The sequence below is a fragment of the Homo sapiens genome, chromosome 13 (genome assembly GCF_000001405.40).
Source record: "Homo sapiens chromosome 13, GRCh38.p14 Primary Assembly".
Classification (NCBI taxonomy): Eukaryota; Metazoa; Chordata; class Mammalia; order Primates; family Hominidae; genus Homo; species Homo sapiens.
This window is the reverse complement of record NC_000013.11, coordinates 57,707,978-57,729,724: the sequence shown is the minus strand read 5'-3', so window position 1 is coordinate 57,729,724 and position 21,747 is coordinate 57,707,978. Positions and strand designations below refer to the sequence as shown.

General features: G+C 33.0%; 1 protein-coding gene across 4 annotated transcripts in view; it reads right to left on the bottom strand.

The window, feature by feature from the left end:
• Positions 1-413: 413 nt before the first annotated feature.
• Positions 414-21,747, bottom strand: part of PCDH17 (protocadherin 17) — a 99,204-nt gene continuing 77,870 nt past the window's right edge. For 3 of the 4 annotated variants that reach the window (XM_005266357.3, XM_047430276.1, NM_001040429.3), the window contains one exon: positions 414-5,113. In XM_005266357.3, the coding sequence (XP_005266414.1) occupies positions 4,431-5,113 (683 nt within the window). In that variant the 3' untranslated portion in view covers positions 414-4,430. Of the gene's footprint in view, positions 5,114-18,022; positions 20,057-21,747 lie in introns of those variants that run through there. The other variant, XM_017020547.2, reaches the window with a different exon arrangement.

Below are 21,747 nucleotides of genomic sequence, written 5' to 3'. Positions count from 1 at the left end.
GAGGACTATTCTATTTGCTTTCATTAGTCATGTAAGATTATGACAGAGCTTATAAATGTACTTTTCTGAAATCCTCTGAGATCTTATGCCAAATTCTCTTTATATTAATTGTAAATATTTAAAACCACAAATATTATTAGGCTATGACCCTTTGGTAATTATTTAACTAGCCAATTTATCTAAGCTATGTGAAAGATTGTTAATCCACTTCTATTGAGAAACTAGTGATACTATCAAGTAATTTTTGTTTAAAAAAGTCTTATTTTAATGGCAAGCAGATAACTAGCAAAATGAGCTGTGATGCCACAGTTTGCTTTTCCAAAATAATTATGATCAGGGTCCCTGTGATATGCACAGGGAAGTGTGTAACACATCCCTTCTGGGTTAATGAATTCAAGGGAAGGCAACACCACTATTAGTAATAGCTTTTTATTCGGAGTCCTCATTTTCCAGATAGATCACATTAAACACAGCCATTAAACAATAGCGTTGAGATAAATCCATACAATGTATGCTGCTTTTGTTGTTGTCCTTGTTCACCAATCACTTGGTGCAGCTAAGAACTTTATGGAGTGATGGGCTGATAATGGAAATAGCCAACCTGCAAAACACTGGGGCCAGGAAAGTCAGACTTTAATCAGGTCTCATTCAATAATATTTAGAATCAACACATCTTGATAGCCAAAACTCTCATTCGAATTAGTGCTCTGATGAATGCTGTCTGTTGTCAAAAGAATATAATTAGACTATTATGACTGGGCATATATTATGCCAGACCTGTCTATCTGTTGACCTCAGTAACTTTTACTCTATTAGATAACAAACAGCTTTTAACCTGGTTCTAAAAAAGCATATGCTCTATTACTACATGACTTTTTTATGGTGCCATATTTTAAATTGAACAATATCTAGATCCTTTAAAGGGAAGTCATGTTTTACAAGATTTCAGCTAATTTTGGAAAACAAAACAAGTTAGTTTCTCAACCAGGAATTCAATTAACCTATGGAGTAGTGAGCCAATCTTTGTATATTGCCTGCAATAAAGTTAGAAATGTCAGGTTAAGAAATAGCATGAAAGAATTCTTTGAAATTGCATGATATGTCTCTTTAATGTTTACTTTGGTATACGTATAACTAACAGATTCTCACTACTTTTAACTCTGATGAAAAGGTTATTTTGTTGCTTTTTTTTTTTTTTTTTTTTTTTAGCTCATCTGCAAGCAATTTTTAGAAGTTTGGGTTTCTTACTGAAATTTCCATGAAGTGATTTTTTTTTCTGTGCTTAACTTCAGTTACTTAAAGACCTAAAAGACAAAGTGGTATCACATCACATATTTTGTATGTGTGGGCTTTTTTGAGGGGTTAGTACTTGAAAGATATGAATTGATATTTTTTTCACATTCTAAATTATGTTAAAACCCCTTCAAATCTCACTGTTTGCTCATGCATCACCTATTAGAGCAAGGTGCTCTCTAAAGGTGTGATTTTGGCATCTCATAGGCTTCCTTGAAAGCCAAGCACCAGAGGTCTGCAATAAAGGCAGTTGCCAGCTAAATGAATAAAAGCGAGATTTCCTCAATTCAACTATAAAAGCTTAGAGTCCTGACTGCTGAATTACCACCAACTTGTAAATAAATAATCACTACTAAATACAGATAATGTGTTAAACAGCTAACACTAGTAAATCACTGGTGACAGAGAGCCTAAAGGTAAATCCCTCACACATTGGCACAACCAATTATTACAACCTTATGGTGTTTTAATGTCCTCAGACACATATAATAAATTGAACAACTGGTTACTTAGCATTAAGAATGTTTATAAAATAAACCCTACTCTCTTTGCTGGTTTCATTTACATACTGCTTTAGATTTTACTAAGTGGATATCTGTCTAGTAAGAGAGAAGCAACACTTGGTAAGACTAAATGGAAATCAGTTTTCCATCAAATTTCAGCTATCAAGCTAAATCAACCTGTAGTCTCCTGGCAAAAATAACATCATATAACAGAGACAACACATTTCAGATACATAAATTGTCCAAAATATAGAGAGTCAATTAGGTTTCACATGTACAAGGTCCCTTCTTTTCTAATTTAAACATTTATGAGTAATAAAAACCAAGAGTAGAGCTTTGGAAAGGCTGTTACTAGGAACCAAAATATAGTTCTCAAGAGAATAAGGCTGATGGGAGTTGTCCACTCTTCCCTCTCAAAGCAGTTTTGCAAACGAGGTACAGTCTAAAATATTGATGGCATTTGGCGGAAATATTTTCAGTAGAAGTTTTTAAAGTTTAAAATTACAAAACTTAATTTAATTCAATGTTTGTTTTTGCTTTTGTTTTTGTTTTAAATATAAGAATTTTTATGACATTTTTGCTGTTTCTACACTGGCTTGGTGGCCAGAAGAGAAGGCACAAAATTATCCACCAGTTTGCAAATAATGCATTTTTCTGCTCCAGTGCTCAAACAGCCTTTATTTAACTCAGCACCACATTTTCTAAGGTATGGGCACAAAACTGTTTGTCATGAAGCTGTAAAATGCCAAAAATTTTAAATGCTGAAAGAAAATGTCAATCAAGGCATTTTCCCATCTGCTGCTACTTCTGCAAGTGCTAATTTTATTTTTCCCAATTCCTGAAATTTGAGGTTTCTTAGCCTCATATGGAAGTAAGTTTGAAACTCGCTAAATGTCACAAGGAAAGGTGTAACCAAATGAAGGAATAGAAGGTGTATTGTTCTCAAAGGACACCAACAAAAAGAGGCAGAAGAGCACTGAGATAAAGGAAAACATTTTGTTAAGACCCAGACCTCTTGAAAAACACTACACAATGCAAGTAACCACTGCTGGTACATACATGCATTAAAGCATTTTTCATGTTTTCAAAATATAATGGGAACACACATCTGAAGCACTTAAAATACTTTTGAGAACCAACTGATGGCATAATATCTACACAGGCAGAAGCTGTATGTTATTGAAAAAACATGAAGAAGTTTCAGATATTGGTACAAATGTCAATTCTTGTGATTTAGCATGACTTTAATAAAAGCTTCTACAAGGACTTGCACATAACCATGACTGATGGATGTAATTTTTGACCTTTCAGTTAGCTCCATCAGCTCACTCAAACACATTTTGAACAGATTATGTACTGTAGTACTTGGTAGACTATACATTAAACAAGAGACTTTGCTCTGAGGCACTGCTTCCCACACTCCATGGGGAAAAGGAAGCAGGAAAAAACAAAACTCATAGAGTTCGACAGCTACCAAGGCAACACTTGCCATTTACAATATAAGCCCAAATATTTTTGCAACACAACTATATATTAATTTAATAAAATACACAATATAGCTCTTACACACTCAACAATTTGGCTCATATGCACTGAATCTGCAATAAATCAATAAAATATGTCATTTGATGTAAACACATTGAATCTTCTTACATTTGCACATTTAAATGGTCATGTGACTTGCGTATGTCTAAGACATTTTCACTTTCCTGAGCTATTTTAGTGTCCACAAATGAATAAAACATATTAATCAAGTTAATTTTCTCTGAATCTTACCACTCAATGGTAACTATTTTTTAGAACTTTTCTATGTCAAATTTAAAACATATTCATCATTGTTTAAATCTTTGTTGGACACTAAAATGCTAAATAGGCATTTTAAATCTTTAAGTTTTCTTCTTCTTTAATGACGTGAATTAGTCTACGTGTGTGCAGGACAAAATGGACTGTATCTTTTTACATTTAACTTTTATATGACATGAGATGTCTTACAAATGACCAAAGGTTTTTTTTTTGTTTTTGTTTTCGACTAATGATATGGAATGTTCCTTGTGTTTATATGTGTGTCAGGTAACTTTATACAGAAATGTTTACCACAAATATGTGTTAATGTTTGGTGTAGCTTGGACTACTGCAAGGTCTTTTCAGGACTTTCAGTAGAAGCCTGTGATGACTGCTAGAAATCCACCACAGATCACAAATTATGACCCTGCTTTGTATGGGGTTTATAGGTAAACAGTTAAGTCAGCATAAATCACGGAGGACAGTCTGAGAGTGATCAGAAATACTTCAGTTCTCACACTGCATACCTTCCTAACAGATTGTCAAAAGGTAATTCTTCTCCTCATCCTCCTTTTTCATCTCTCCTTTTTCTTCTCTCTTTTTTTCTTTTCTCTTTAAGCATCATTAATTCTGTCCTAATACAAGTTTGGTCAAAACGAAACCATTGTTATCTCTGAAAAAGAAATCAGCAGTGGAAAGAACATACTTGTGGGCACTTCAGATGTTCACTAAAAGCCTTAAAGCAGCATTGGTCTTTCTTCATCCCTGTAAAATGGGTTATCACCAGGAGGGATCATTTTTAAATCAACAGAAGAGACAAGAAAATGCCAATGCCTTTTTTTTTTTCTTTTTTCACTTTCTCACAGCCACAGGGTCGTTTCCCCGGCAGTCTTGCAAAAGCTTATCAATTTCTCTCACAACTTCCTCTGCATCCACAGACTCTCTGCCCAGATCCCTGTTGGGGTGGTCAAGCTGCTCAAGAACAGCACCCATCTCACTGGAATCCCGGCTGGCTCTGGAATGCACATCTGCAAAGACCCTTGCCATCTGATCGGAAGCCATGAAGGGAGGGTCTCTTGGTTGCTTACTAGGTGACAGATATTGACTGTCAGTGGGCAAGTACTGACTGCTTGCTTCAGCCAGGGCTCCTGGTTTTGCTTCACAGCCATCCAGGGAGCCTTTTGTTGAGGTGCAAGGCTCGATGCACGCCTTGGTTGGGCTGCTTGATGCTGAGGGGACCTCTTGGAGGAGAGGGCTCAGGGCACGTTTGGCTTTTAAATAAGGTTTAACGTTGGCAATGAGAATAGTGTGCTCTCGCTTGTCTTTTCCAAATGTACAAAAAGTCTTTTTCCCAGTGGGATTCACAGTTTCGTAAGTCTCAGTCTCAACATTAGCTTCAACTGTAGGTACAAAGAGATTTGTGCGGTAATCTGCATTTTCAGCCTGATTGGCTGCAGGGAACTGTGGCATCCAGCACCTGTCAGAATGACCAAGCACTCGGCATTCATCTGTGCAATTAACACACTCTTCTGGTTCTGCAAAACAAAAGAGAAAACAGCAAATCCAATCATTAGAGTTTTCTTTAAATTTCTACAGAGGCTGTGATCAGCTCTCAATGGGCTTGCTTGACCTCTGGTCTCTTAATTAAAAAGGAAAAGAAAACAATAATTAAAACATTTCAGGATGGTTGCATAAACCTGCTGGTTGAGACAATGGTTTAATTTAAGTCTATTCTCTAGAGATTAATGAATTCCCACAGCCTGGGAAGAAGTAAGATGTGGCCATTGGAGAATCATTCTCAGTAGAATAGAGCATCACCATAAACTAAACTCCTGGGAATATCAGTTAGTCTTTGTTCTGTATAACTCATCCTAGAAACAGTGAACTTCAAAAAAGATTATCAGGATTATTTTTTTCAAATCAAATAACAAGGCAAAAACTGGATTGCAAACTTCCATAACAAGTTCTAAGCTGCTCTTTAAAAAACGTTTTATCACTATTTTGCTTGTAATTGTTATTTGGATGACAGTCATGAAATAAAAGGTTTCCTTTAAATGCTTACTTTTCCTACTGAGAGTGGCAAATGGAATTTTTTATCAGGACGTATTATGAATAAGCTTGTCAAAAAGTGCACATCTCTATTTTATTAGATAGGCGTATGGATCATGTAATCAGTTTTCTGTTCAGCTTTTTGTTTTGGGTGTAAGTAGGTGAAAATGCATTTACTCAACAGATACAGGTCAGAATGAATGACAAATCATGATTTCCCATTTTAAATAATAATGCTTTCTGTGGGAATTTTTACTTTTTTCCTTTGCCAATAGAGACTCTAAATAAAGCATTCTTTTAATGATCTCTATTTCACAGATGCTGAATGTGGAATATGAAAAAAAATCCTTAATTATAGAAGAGCTGCATACTTCCATTGACCCCAATATTTTAAACCATAACTTTGAGCTACATCGTCCCAGTTGTCCCTTTCTTATATAAATGATTGTGCCCATTGTGGTTAATGACTGTTTCTAAATCAGAGACTTTTACTTTTAGGAGAGGATATTTACAATTTACCTTTATGTAATGGGAATAGAAGTCCCTACACTTTTAGGCGCCCTTGGGATTTGCCATTTAATTGGTGCTAGATGATCTCTACACATTTAGAGTGTCCTGTGCAAGAAAAGGATGTCCACATGAAACATATATTTAAAATAGCAGCAAATGTAATAGCATTGATAAATTTGTATATCACTTCTCAAAGTTATATATGAAACCTAAATTTATACTTAAAGCATGTAAATAATTATTTACATTAAAAAGCCCACAATCTGTTTTATCTCAAAAGGTTTTAAGATAAAACAATTTCTTAAGAGGCTGAAATTTTTAGGAAGAAATCAAAATGGTGTCTTGAGAAAACAAAGATACTATGTTATTTATTCACACCTGTGAAACCTCAAAAAAAATTAGGTATCTTTCTTCTATTTTAATTTTGTCATTTTTTAAAAGAAATGTTTTCTTATGAGTAAATTAAATATTCACTGTTAAATTTATTATGCAGGAAAGAATGCTGAAAAGCAGTCACACAGTGCATCCACAGACGCAAATACTATCTACAAATCGAAAGACTGTTAGACAGACATGAAGAACAGCAGAAACTAGGCATTATTTTTTTTCAGAAGCCTCTATTTATGTATTTAAATTAGAACTGAAATTTTTTAAAAGGGGGTATCAGAAGTTCAATATTGGCCAGGTATAGTGGCTTATGCCTATAATCCCAGCACTTTGGGAGTCTGAGGCAGGAGGATTGCTTGAGCCCAGGAGTTTGAGACTAGCCTGGGCAACATAGCAAGACACCCCTCTACAAAAATAAAAAATTTAAATTAGCCAGGTGAGGTGGTGCATGCAGCTACGCGGCAGGCTGAGGAAGGAAGATGGCTTGAGCCCAGGAGTTCAAGGCTGCAGTAAGCTGTAATCATGCCATTTCACTGCAGCCTGAGTGACAGAGTTAAACCCTGTCTCAAAATAAATAAGTAAATAAATACATAGAAAAGCAAAAAGAAAGGTTCAATATCAGGTATCAGTCATTTGTTTCCTTTACCTACTCTAAATGGGAATCATAAATATTACCTTTATTTATATCTGTCAGTAAATGTTAAAAAAATCATTTCAACAAATAGATAACTTTCAACAAATTTTATCTTTCAGAAAGAAGGAAAAGTAGAAAACTTTACAATCTATTTCACTCAGTAATACTTTTGTATCTTCTAGCATCATGAAATTTTTTAAAAAATTCATTTATAACTCATACACTGTCTTTGAAATATGCTAATGTAGTTTCATGTTTCATATTGACTGGCCTTTCATTGCAGCTATTTGGATAGCTAACACTGAATGAATTCAGTATGAATTTAAGACACAGAAAAAGAAAGAATAATGCAGACGTATGAAAGTGTAAATCGACCTTGAATTTGAAACCACCAACATAAAATGATTGTTTGCTTGTCACTGCTGAAAATCTGCAGCATTTTACTTAACTCCTTTATGTCACATCGTGGGGAGCAAATTTTGAGTATTGATTATGATACATTACAAGCTGTTCACCTTGTGATTAGACTATAATTTTGATGGCAGCAGTTCACAGTCAGTGAAGAAAATTGAATGGACACTTTTGTACAAACAGTAGAAACTATGAGCACAAAATGAACTCTAACTGTCAAGGGTCAAGTTAGAATTTGTGAGAGAGGGAAATCATTTTTGAAAAAACATAAATGGATGAATAGGTAAATACAGAAAGAAGAGACACAGATAATATACAATGAATGACTGGTTGGGCAAAAAAGATAGACAAATGGAAAAAAGGAAGAAAGTAGAAAGGGAAAGAAGCAAAACAAAGTGAAGGGAAGGAGGGAAACGAGAATGAGAGTGAGGCAAGGGCTGGGGGTAGATGAAGAGAGAGTGTAGTGTGGAGGGAGAAGGAGGGAAAGCTGCCACAAAGAAAGGGTTTGTTTAAGACAAAAAGGGGTGTATTCACAGTATTTCTGACACGTGTACCTTCTATTGCACATTTTTAAGTGCCCTCAATAAGTTAAGTGTGTATAATAAAAAATAACATTGAAGAGTATTTACTTAAGCCCTACAGTTCTAAGATAGATGATCAAACTGCTCTCTGTACTTTAAGGGGAATGGATTCTGGAATAGATATGTTAAATTATAAGCTATGGAAATGAAAAAAAAAGCAAATTATTTAGATAGCCACCGTTTGCATATATTCAATATATACACCAGAAAACAAGTCCAGAAACCCTGAACAGAAGAAATCAAATAAAAAATAGTTGAACAAATATTCACTTTTTTCTTCAGGTTCTATCTGGGATTGCCAAGATATTACTTACTTTTGTTTTCCTACTTTCCTCAATATAACATGATCACCCCTTCATAGAATGCATCCCTTGCCAAGAAACATAGCAAAATTTAAATAGTATGCAGATGAGAGATACTCACAGATAAGCATGTTTATATTGCAGAAAGAAAACAATTCTAAAGTACACAAGGTGGGACTGTGGGCAGTTCTGCCTATATTAGACACTGTAAACTACAGTGTTTACAGTTATAAACTATTAGTTTACAATGTCTAATCTTTTAAAAGCATGATTCCCTGAAATATTATGTGACAATCAAATAACTTTAAACACTTGTTTAGTATTAAGAATCACTTTCTATACTCCTGTTGCTGCATCTGACTGTTATGCAAGCCTCAAAGGGAAGTATCTAAATGCAGTAACCTTAATTAGTTCAATTGTGCCTCTTAATTTATATGACATTTTTGCAAAACAGATGAAGTAACTCAAAAGACTGTAGTACTTGCAGTTTACCTGCACCATAAACCACACACAGACACATGCACACATATTCATATTGTATACAGACCTTTATTTTTATGTTTGTGATAAAACTTAGCTTTTTCCAAGACACAGACTAAAAATTCGTTAATAAAATAGAAAATCTTAAATTCATAACCTATGCATTTCTGAACATTAACTACTAGCAATTACCATAAGAGAAATACAGGTGAATCACAGGAAGTTCTATATTCATAATATCAGGGGTACATAAACAAGACAATATTTTATTATTGTAAATAAAATGACAATATTTTATTATTGTAAATAAAATAACAATATTTTATGTATTTGTTTATATATTAACAAAGCTTACATATATTAATGTACACATATGTATAAATCTTTCAGACTAAAAGCACCAATAAGCAACATTTTAATCTTCCCCTTTGCCACAAGCCTGGGTGCAAAACCTATGATTAGATCAACACTTTAACTGTCTCTGATTTTAGAATTTCATGTAATTAAAATGGATTTGGACATAAAGATACCCGAAATCTGCATATTCATATTGGCTGATAATATCTGAAAGCTCTCTCTCTCTTTTTTAACCTACACTAAGCAGTTTAATAGCTTAATCTTAAGGATATCAGGCAAGCAATCATTTTGTGACAAAATATACCTTCAGATGAATCAAGCCATTGTGAAATTATTCTAAATTATATCTATGTGAGGAAAAAATACTTAGATAAAAACATCAAATTATCTGCTTTTAAATTGTTGGGTTTTAATAGTCTCCCACAAATGTTATATAATTTAATTTTACAATGTGTTTTAATTGTATAATGTCACTATATCACAGGAGTGCATAGCCATTTCAATGATGCCCAAAATTATCATTTATAAGATAGAAAGTTGAAACCAAAATGTTATTAAAATCAACAAAGATTAACAAAGACTAAGTGCCTCAGTTGAACATAGTTATTGTGGAAAGCTCAGGGAAAAACACTTGTGGATTCTGATTCTGTAGTGTCCAAGCACAGGAAATATGCCTAGCAACCAGCCAAAAAAGTCTTACTTTGGAGAGAATCTACCTCTTTATTCTATTCTGTTTTGCTCTCAGGCAGAAATTTGTCACAAGTCAGAATTTTAAACTTATTTTCCCTGTCTTCAGAGCACTACAAAAGTAATTTGTGACCACTTAGGGAAATTTTAGAGAGCATAAAAGGATTTCCTCCCCTGAGTTTCAGACTTACTTGGTGCTTTGGGAACTTACATATTTGTACACCTGAAAACGTACATATAGTTTGCAGCACAGGAGTTTCCTATCTGCATCCAGTATTTGCCTCTGATTTTCTTTTCTATAATGATGAGATAAATGTCTGTGTCATAGACACTTAAAAACCAAAATCTATAAATCATGGCATCAATAAAGACAGTCTAAATTGTTGTGGCCAGGGGAAAAGGACATTTCAAAAAGTTATCTGTGCTTTATGATTGTCAACCAAATGGTCTTATTTCTGTTTTGTAAACAGATGTAAATAGAAATTGTGTTCTCCTATTACTGTGGTAGTTGGTATCATTTCTAACAACATCTTAATATTAGAGTTTTTCCAAGTAGACAACTCTATAAATGGAAGTCCAGTTTTTATTTGTTCCCGTTATTCTTTTTTTGTTTCTAATTTACCTTCTTTCAACAATGTAAGCTTTCATAATATCTAATTAGCTGTCTTCCAAATCAGAGAGCAAGCACTCATCTCTATTTACGGTCTGCACAAGTGTTCTGTAGATTAATTCTACAGAATCTAAGCTAAGTACCCATCACAAATTCTTTATCTGTCTGCAAACCAAGCCAAGCCAAGACCTTTGGCTGGCAGTTCATGCTCAGTAATAGTTTTCTGTTAAGAGGCTTTAATGGTATAACAGCAGCTTGATTTTATGGCCTTTTTCTTTCTTCAGCACATACACACAATTACACACACATGCATGTGCACACATTTTTCTATGACCACAACAAATTGCAATTTATCCCAATATATTCTAACATAGAGAAAACATCAATGCTAAAACAGAAATCTCATCAGAAAATGGTCCAACATACCTCTAATAAAATGGATTTTTCTTTCAGTGAGTTGACATAATTTACAACATCCTGTGAACTGACACTTTTCTAACATACACAGTTCTTTCTTTTTTTGGCTATGTTGATTATTATTGACTTACTTTCTTTTCTGATCCTATAAAAACTTTACACTTGTTATAATAATAGAGTGAGTCATTCCATATAAATGGTACCTTAACAATCTATATTCATAAACATTATTATTTCCACTTATGACTTCTATGTCCCATTTACTTGTATATTGTTAAAAATGAATATTCTGTTCTCACTATCTGACTAAAAGGAGTAAAAATTTTGCTTTCAATATTATTTCTAGAGACAGTTCTGGATAAGTAAGTTGTCTCAAAATTATTTTTTCCTGTGTCAGATTTTTAAATGGGTATTCTAATATTACAAATTTCCTGGAATTTTTTTCCTACTTCCAAGTTTTATTTTAACACCATTTTTAATAAGCTTATTTTATCCTTTATGCAGGGAAGAACAGGGTTGTGTAAGAAAAAATGTTAATCGGAGAATCCATCCCTTGCTTAGCTAAGCTATTCTTCTATAGCATTGTATTTCCCATGTGTCTCACTTGTGCACAGGGATACATGTTGTTTCTTAATCAAGTAACTAATATAGAGATACACAGATATGGAATGTCTTGCTGCTTTTATTTTTTAATATAATGAGGAAAATATATCTTGTTACAATATGCTTATTTCATGAGGTTGTCTGTTAACATGTTGGCAGTGATATAATGAGGAAAAATTAGACATAGGACCTGAGGAAATAAAATTATTTTTTAAAAAATCAGCCCCATAAAGAATTATAAATTTAAAATATATCTCAAGTAATAAAACTACTATGAGAAAAAATGTATACATTTTGAGGAGTATACACTGCTAATCTGGCTTCCAGATTTTACTTTGTGAAGTGCTATTCTATCTGCTTTTGATAGCAGAGAGCACATTTTGAAAAGGAAGTTGTTATAATACTATCAAATAGTCAAACCACGGCAGCTTTGAAGTACCAATCCTCTAGCATGCACCTGCATCGCACAATGCTTTTGAATGTATTGCCACGGCTGCATTCAGACACCAGAAATCACTGTCCTATATCATAAGCAAGTGAATCCAATCACAGCTGGGTATTTGGAGCTGTTTGGAGCATTTGCACTTACTGTTCAATGCACCTGCACACCTTCAGGGATGGTTTTAAGTGTCTGTGACCCTTTGGACATAGTAAAATGTTTACCGGAGTGGAATTTTCTGGCGTATATATTGACCACACATAGATAACGCTCTAAGGTGAACAGAACTTAAGACAAATTGAAATGAAATTTATGATAAGGAATAAATGCAAAACAGTATTTGATATGGAAGTGCTAGGACTACAAAACAATGAGAATGTAAACCATGCATTGGGAATTTATGGCACAAATATCATTTGTGTCCCATGGCATGCCACTGAGATCAACACTGAAAATTTAATCTGCCCCTTCCCTGAATTCCCTTCTGTAGGCACAGCCATCACCTGGGGCAGCGGCAGATGCTTGGAAGTAAAGGCACAGCTAAATGGAACCATCTTTTTCCTAACAGGTACCCCGAAGAGAACTGGCTGAAGCTCAATATTATACCACCAGAACAAGGTTTATATTCACTTTGAGAAAAGTATGCTTACAGAGACTTTCAAGGAAAAACAATACAATTCAAACGTCCCACCAGCATAAAGACAGCTCACATTTTGTGGGCACATTAGATGTGTGTAGTTCAGCAATTACTTTAAAGAAGTTACACACAATAATTTATAAGGTAAAAATGCATTACACACCTCCCCACACCTTGCCTAGGAATTGAAAGTTTTCAAGGAGGGGTATCTTGGGTAGAATGCTGTAGAATGAGTGTTTTGTTGCATACAGGTCTGTGGTAAATAAACCTAGGTCTATCTACTTCTAAAGTTCTGAAATTTGTAAGACTATATCTCTTTACCGATGAGTTTAAACTTTGATTGGAAACTAAAAAGTAGAGTGAAACCAGCATATGGGAAATTATTCATGATCAGTTACATTTTGAACTATGTCATATGAACGTCAAGCAGCAGAAATACAGAGAAAAGCGTAGGTTGTAATATTGTGAAAGGCTTTATGCAAGAGGTGGTGCTTGATCTGTGATTCAAAGGCTGATCAGGGTTTCAACAGAGAGTGGAGAGCAGAGAGAGGGCGCTCCAGGTAAAGGATTAAGAAAAGAAACACACCTCACATGGGAATGTGCACTTCACAGGGCAGTAAGAGACCAGCTTTATAGGTCAAAGGACTTAAGCTGCAATGGCAACACTTGACATAACAATGTAGAGAAAATTTGCTAGGATCTGAAAAAAGAATGGAAAAGTTCTAAGTAAAAGACCAAATTTAATGCAGCAGGCAATGAAGCACTAGTATAAGTATTTAAGCAGTGTATCATATGTCTCAAAGATTCTTGAATTATTTCGGTGGTTGATTGGAAAGTCATCAGACACCATTAATGAAACTATAGAATTGGGATGAGCTATAGGGTAAATAGAATCCAAATCAGCATTTTTTCTAAAAAGGGATATCTAGAGTTTTTGGCTCAAGCCAGAGTATCTCCAACAGACACAACAAGACCTGAATGATTCACTGGAATAGGCATTCCAGCCCCCAGACTCAGCTTTCATCTTTCATATCATCCTGCTTCTTCTAAAGAAAGTCTTAATGTGCATTTAAACTGGTATTTTATGTTACCAGCATAAATCTTGCATTTTTAAATTCTTCATTAGAAAAATATTTCTTTTTCCTACATCTGCTTTATCTTTCTTCCCTCTTCCTCTAATTTTCTGTTATCATTAACCAAACATAACATTTCATATGGTAAAGTATTTGAAATATTAAAGGATTATTTTAGAAAATCAGAAAATGGAGAGTCTGGAACAAAAGAGATTCGCTAGGTATTCAAAAGAGAGGTAAAAAATATATCAACAAAGCAAAGACAACAACAAAGAGTAAGATGGATGAATCTCAGAACAGTTTTCATATTTGATACACCATTGAAAAGGTTTTTGATACACCATATAAAGAACAATAAATTTTAAAAACTTCCAATTTTTTCCTAAATAAGCATTTATATTTTGTATGAAGATAATGTAGCAATTTTCCCATTGAATTATATATTACAGCATTACTCTGCATTCCTTATTATTTTTTATCTGTTTACCTGGAGACCCTAAAGTCCCTTGAAATCAAGATACTACAGTATATTCTTCAGCATTCCATTCCTTGAATATATGACACACTCAATGTACACTTCTGAATTTGAACAGACGCTTTAATTGATGGAAAGGATCATTAAATTAAAAGTTATCAAACACTACGGGTAACCTATAATGGGAACAACTACATACTTTATAAATTACTCATTTCAGTACCATTCATTTGTGAGATCATAATGTCAGTTTTCAGAATGATCCCAGGACCAAATGAAGTTGTACATAATAGCTGTCTATTGCTGTGAGATATGCATTGTTTACAGTAATATCAGATGTCTGTTAAAAACAATGTTTATATAGAAAATATAAAGTTATCTATTTATTATTGAAAATACCATTTTAAATTATGAGATAAATCCTGCCTGACATATATTCTACTCGAACTTGGAGGTCAGAATAATTTCCCTTTAGGAAATTTTGGAAACCAGTGACACTGTTATTGAAATCAAAGCCTATATTTAAATAATCACCTCTTTATAATTTTAAATTATGGAAAACAGTGAGTATCCTGAAAACTACACCTCAGCACCTATAGGTTTCTTTCTTCTCTGCTACGTTTCTCTTTTGTTTTTTTCTTCTACTGCATTGCCGTGTCGAATGAGACACTTTTCTCTTTTAAGTGAGCTGTCTCTGTATCTTACACTTTAGCCAACAGCTATCATCAACATATGAATTAATTAATAAAACTTTGTAATTTTAGAGTCTTGAAAGAGTTAATGCAATTTCCGAAAGAACCTGATTTATATGCAGTGAGAAACCTATGCTCTGGCATGCAGTAGTTAGCAAAAGCTGTTTGGCTTACAAGGACAAATTTAAAATTCTAGCAACTTAAATAATACTGTGAATTTCAGACCCAAGACTGTTTAAGTATTCTACTATCCTTCATCTTTGGAGAGGATGTTTTCCTTATGCTTTTATTGCCTCTGTAAGCCAACCCCATCTCTGATAATGACACCATTTTTGATGACATGGATGAATACATCTAAGATTCAAGTCATCCTCCTAGCAAAGTGGTAATCCTGTAAGGAAGGTCAATGAAAACATGCCTATTAAACCAAACTCATTGTAAGAAGCAAGCAAGAGAGTCTTATTAGTGTTTTCTCTCTGCCTGCTGTCTGATTGCTATTGGGATGTATATCTATTTACCAGTTTAAATCCTGTTGTTCATCTTGTTTCTAGCAGCTCTTATTTTCCATTGCTAGAAACAAGCAAACAGAATCAGGTGTCAGTTTTAGCACTCTCAGAAAACAGTTAATTCAGATGCAGTTCATCTTCTCTGGCTTATTATTTAGCAATCAACCTCTGCCAATAGGATATGGGAGTCCCAGAAGATAGATTTTTAAAGAATGTTTTTAATATTTTAATATTTTTAATGACATTCTAGTTTCCAGAAGCTATTTATTAAACTCACAGATTTCTACTTGGGATAGGTCTAAAGTTTCCTTTGTTAACTTAAATTAGGTGGGCATGTGTACACGAACAGATCCGTGTCTTGCTCAGACAAGTATTTTCAAAAATACTATATTTTTGAAGAAAGAAGTAATACAAAAGGTTTTTTTAAAGATTCAAATGAGTGAGAAATATGTATGAAACTATACTACTCCATAAATGATTCTGCAACAGGTACTTATATAACAAAAATGTAAAAACTAAAGCTAAATACCCTCAATGTGTTCATGCATACGCGTACATGTGCATGCATGCACACACACAGAAAAATAATAATAAATATGTACTTGAATAAATACATACAAATGTCTCCTATGAAGTGGAATCTTTCTAAGAGGACAATTAAAATGATAGTTTCCAAAGATAACTTTAGAATAAAATACAGGCATTTGGACCTAAACAATTCGGCCTTGATCTTACTCAAACAATACCCCTACCACTAAGCTGCTGAAACTGTGAATCTTATGGCTACTATTATTTTAAATAGTCAAAAATACCTATAAAGGGTAGGAAAGCAATGATAACTGCCATTTCAAATAAAGGCTGTTCTTGGAATTACCTCTCTAAAACCATTCTGTTCTTATTACCTGTAACTGTGCTATAAATTTATTGGAAGCTGATGTGTTTTATCCTCTACAATTGGTTCATCCCAAGAATAAAACTTTAAGTGAAATCAATGCACTCAATATCCGTGTTCTAAAGTAAATATACAGAAATGTTTCTTGTAATAGGTTTTATTGGCAATGACAAGCCGTTTTTCTAGTAACAGCTTTAATGTTTTGTAATCATTAAAACACACTGAAGCATTGGAGAAATTGGTAGAAGAGGTCAGGAAATTTACATATTAAAAGAGAGGAGATGTGGCTCTTTAGATTATCCTGCTATGTAATCAAACTGAGGGGCAAAAAAGCTACTGGAGAGGGCTATTTCTGAATCACAGTAAAGATAAAAATGTGTTTTTAAAGAAAATGTTACCATGCATCATGCAGTATGGAGATAAAAAAGTGTCTAACAGTGATGTTTTAAATACTTTCTTATCTTGGAGAGTATTTTCTGCGATTCCATTGATAATCAGCCATACCCAGAGCAAAGAACAGACAGTAAGAGTGAAGTGCATTCCTAAAGGGTAATTTTAACAAGAAAATAAATAGAAATATATAAGCAATTATTTTATTTTCAGACTTTTAATCTGAATCCAATCTAAAAAGGAATTCATATTAATATAACAGAAGAACTAATTAAGACAGTCTTTCTTAATTCAAACATGCTATATTTGAGTTTTTCTTATTAATAATCTTTTCATTCAATCTTAGAAATAAGTGATTTTTTTGTTGCTACCAAAGGTATTTTCAAGGAGCCATTTAACAATTTTCATATTCATTATCAAAAATGGATGTATGATGAATTATTCAGTTTGGTGTTCTAAGACCTTCATAATCTAGCCAAAATAAATTTTTTAGGCAACTCTATTATTAAAAAAATAAATTTAAATTCAGGCAAGTCAGATTTTTACATTTGCTTTCACAGCACATTTCTTTATAATGCTTAGGAAAATAGCAGTAATCTTCTAACTGGACCCTAAAATTCCTTTAGAAATATAATTCATAAGTCAATCAGAGAATGTGGACACTTCTATTGGACACATAATTGGGATCACAACGTCTCTGCTGAAAGGAGAAAAAAGCTTGAATTTAAGTAAGTTTCACTCTAACCGTGAATGTGTACATTTTTAAGGTCCAGATGAGTTTTTGACTTGAGCTAAAGTTATCCAGTATTAAAATCCAAGGTCTACCCATAAGTGAACTACAATTAAACTATTTGATTTGACAAATTTCCAGTAACATATTTATTTTAAAGCTCATTCTTTAAATGATAAAAGTATTTATGATCACAAAGGAAACCTACCTGCTATTATTATAAAATGGAAAAATTATTAGGTTAGCAGTATTTAGTAAAAAGAAACTTTCTATCTAGGCTTTTTTCTTATTGAGTATAGTTGTTTTATTACTAAAAATAAATATATCTGCACATAATTTTGCATAAAATCCCAAATATAAATAATGTATTGTTAGATTAATAATTTATTAAAAAGTATACATCCTAAGATACATAACTCATTGATGTATTTATTACCTATAAAACACAAAGATTATATCTATATGAACTATTTGGGAGATAATTGAAACAAAAGTAAAAATATTATTATTCTGATTATTTTATAACATAGAGACAAAATGATTATGTTATAGTAATTTTATAATAATCAAAAATATATATGCAAAATTACATTCAGTAGCCTCAACAATTGTATTCTAAATTGAAGAGTTTTATAGTATATATTCAATAGAAAATATTAGCAAGCTTTGCTATCCTGATTATCTTGACACTTTGAGAAAATGTAAATTTAAAATGATAACTTCAAATTTGTCACATAATTATCACCCAAGGAATACAGCTAAAAAGCAAATGTACATATAGTTATGCATGCATTCTTCATACACATGATTAAAAAATTACATTCATATACCAGATGGAAATGAATAGAAGGGGCCTTGCCTAAAGACAACAATCTCTGAGAACCACTTAGTGGACATAAAATAAGGCTTAATTTACCTAACAACAGTTTCCAGTTTTCCTGGTGCTCAATCACAACACTAGCTCTGTGTTTCTTGTTGGTAAATGGCCATGGTTCTGCACAGGTGTACATGTGCCTGTGCATGTATGCACCAGTGAGCATTCACATACATTTGAGCAGGAAATGGATGTGAGATCAAGGCAGAAATATATTGAGGAACACATGAAATAATGTATAAAAATTTACATTCTAAAATCCAAAATGATTATTGGTATAAATGATACCCTTGAATTTAATTTTTGCTGAATGAAAAAAATATAACACTTTTCCCAACTAATTAAAATTTAATCAATGTGAAATCACAGCTATTCAAGGGTAACAAGGAAGACTTTATATAGACCTTACATATGTGTGTGTGTGTGTGCATGCACATGCACACTGACACACTTGTGTTTCAAACTTCTCACCTTTTTACCCCCAAATCAAGGACAGGTATAACTTTCCCAACTATAACCTTGTCTGTTTAAAGCTGTTCTATTTTTACTCCAGTTTCCATTCATTTCCATACAAGAAATAAAGCAACCTTGTCTCTTTCTCTGGCATGAATAAAGCAAGAAAAATTGCGATTCTTAGATTACTATAATATACATGTATGTTTTTCAAGCACAGCAACAACCTGATATAATCATTTTCTCCAGTAGCAAGTTTTTCTTAAGTAGTGATTAAACTATGCAGAAACCAATCAAATCTCTCAAAAGCATTCAAATGATTCAGAGACTTGGATGATATCCAGACGTAGAATGGTATAATATGTTGAGCTAAAATTTCACCTGAGATAGGAATACTTTTTCCTGTTTTTTTACTTAATTTTTCCAGTTGTTTCAAATGTTAATGTGTTTTCCAAGATTATCTGAATCACATGTAAAGCATACTTAGAGATTGAAATGTATTGCATAATTTATGGAGTTCCAGGGATTTAAATATTTAGCTTCATTAGCCATTATAATTTATATAATTTTGGTTCTGCCTTGCCTTTAGGAAACTATATGGGGCTGCTATGTAAAGGTTTTTTAAAGTATTGTGTAAAGAAGCCTTTAACGTATTTTCACAAAGTAACACTTAGCTAATATGATGTGTAATTGAGTCCAAAAGGAAAGAGGAATTTGGGGACTCAGTTTCTCAGGTGAAACACAGTTATTCAGGTGGCAACAGTGAAGCAGATTGCATCTACACCAACAACTTACACCAAAAGAAAATAATCAAGTTTTTCTTTCCTGTACAGCCCACTTTCCATTCCATCAGTTTATTCTACACTATTTCCTAAGTGAAATTAATATAAGTGGTAGAATTTTCAAAATATGAAATAATTAAGATTTGGCCCACTTAAACTCACTTAAGAATAACAAATATTAAAAATCTGGTGTAAGACTAGATTCTTGTTTCAACCGTTAACACTATACAGCTTTTCCGGAAATACTAAGAGCATTAATGCAGAAACAATAAAGAAAATTACTCACTTACTATGCTATTTTCCTTTAAAGAAATAAAGTCCACATGTTCTGCCTTGCAAATGTATAGTTTTATGAGTGCTATCATCTAACAAGTAAAATTTGGATCACAGAGAAGAAAGCTAGCAGATGAAGAAATTGCTCACCTGGAGGAAGCAGATCAACAGACTGAAGTCTACTTGTGATGGTGTGTAGGGTGAGGATAGCAAAGGAAAGCAAAGTCGGGAATGCTTGAAAAATAAAATATTTTTAGTTAACAAATAGAAAAAACCAAGTAGGAAAAAGGGCCAACTGAATTATGAATCCTTCTCTATTGATTTTAACTTTTATATTAAAATTCTTTAGAATGATCAATATCTAAAAGATATGGTCATTGGTATTTCCCCAGCTACATAAGACTTAGTCTTATTGGAAGAAAATTACTTTTCTGGGGGTATTTAAGTTTAGATGAGATGAAAACAGTGCAAAGTAACAAGATGTATTCCTAGGTCCATGGAAGAAATACACTCATGATGATGATGCATTCATTAACCTTAAATAAAATAATTTTCTGCAATAGTGGATAGAAGATGTGAACAAGCAGGCCCCAAAAATTAAAGTCACAAACTATTCTGTAATATCCCTAGTTACCAAGGTTTTAATAAAAATGTGTACTGCATCTTAATATTAGTTATACAATATATGCTGTCTAGAACTTGAAACAAGACACTATTTGTAATTTAGCCCTTTACTCAGTCACCTAATTTAAGAATGTACTGACTTTAGCAATGAGAAATATATATATATATTTTATACATATATATATTTCTGTAACATCTTCTATTTTTTTGTTACCTAACATGAAACATGTATGTAATACAAAATTAAGAAAATGCTGTGGTATATTCTTGCTTTTGTTTTTGTTTTGCTTTTTATGAGCCTCTAACTTAGATATATTATGTACATGTATATTTGATCTACTTCTTAGACTAAAACAAACAAAAAAAGAATATTTTGTTCTGCATTAATGTTATTGAAATGCACAGTGAATATGAGAAATCAATTGCTGCCTGAAAGTCTTGCCAACAAAAAATGCCTGTTGGTGAGTGAGAGTAACTTTATTTTTAAAATAGTCTCATTTTCTGAGATTCAACCTTTATTCAACATCTGTTGTTTGCCCCTCCCCTGGAAAATAATTATGTAGGATTCCAAGGTAAAACAGGTTGAACAATTAATAACAGGCAGCTCAAATGGTTTTTTTCTCACTGTTGCCCTGGGGATATTTCTTTCATTCTTTTCTTTTTCCCCTGGCTTTGTGTTTAATTTGTGTGTGTTTCTGTCCTATTTTTAAAGTATACCCTCACAACAGATGGAAACACCTGAAAATAAGTCTGCCTCACGCACATGTTTAAATGATGACTATTGTAATATTTAACAGAGTAAAGAGAATACAGAATATACTGAATGTTTGTTTAGAGAAAAAGAATAATCTAGAAATTACCTTGTTATTATGTTTGTCTTGACATTCTGAAAAAGCACTAGTTCTTGCCAAATATATATTAAAAAAGTTCAAAGTCTAGGACCTTCATATATTCTTACTTTGTTACCAAACTCATTTGTCTTTTCGGCATATAACATGACCCTCTTAGATTTTTAATGGTACCAACAATAAGGCTTTTCAATATCCATTAACCATTTTACTACGTAGAAAGCACTTTACATTTACTTGATAATAATCCAAACTCAGTAGTCAATATCTAATGTATTTTAGATACATTCAAAATATGTCATATATTTTTAAAATAATATAAGCAGAGTCACATAAAGTACACAACTCCTTTAATCAGAAAAATTGATCTCATCCAAGTTGAAGAAAAAACAGCTATAGGCTGTGTACTTGATTGGATACTGCCCCCCACCCTAAAATGTATGTCAACCCAGA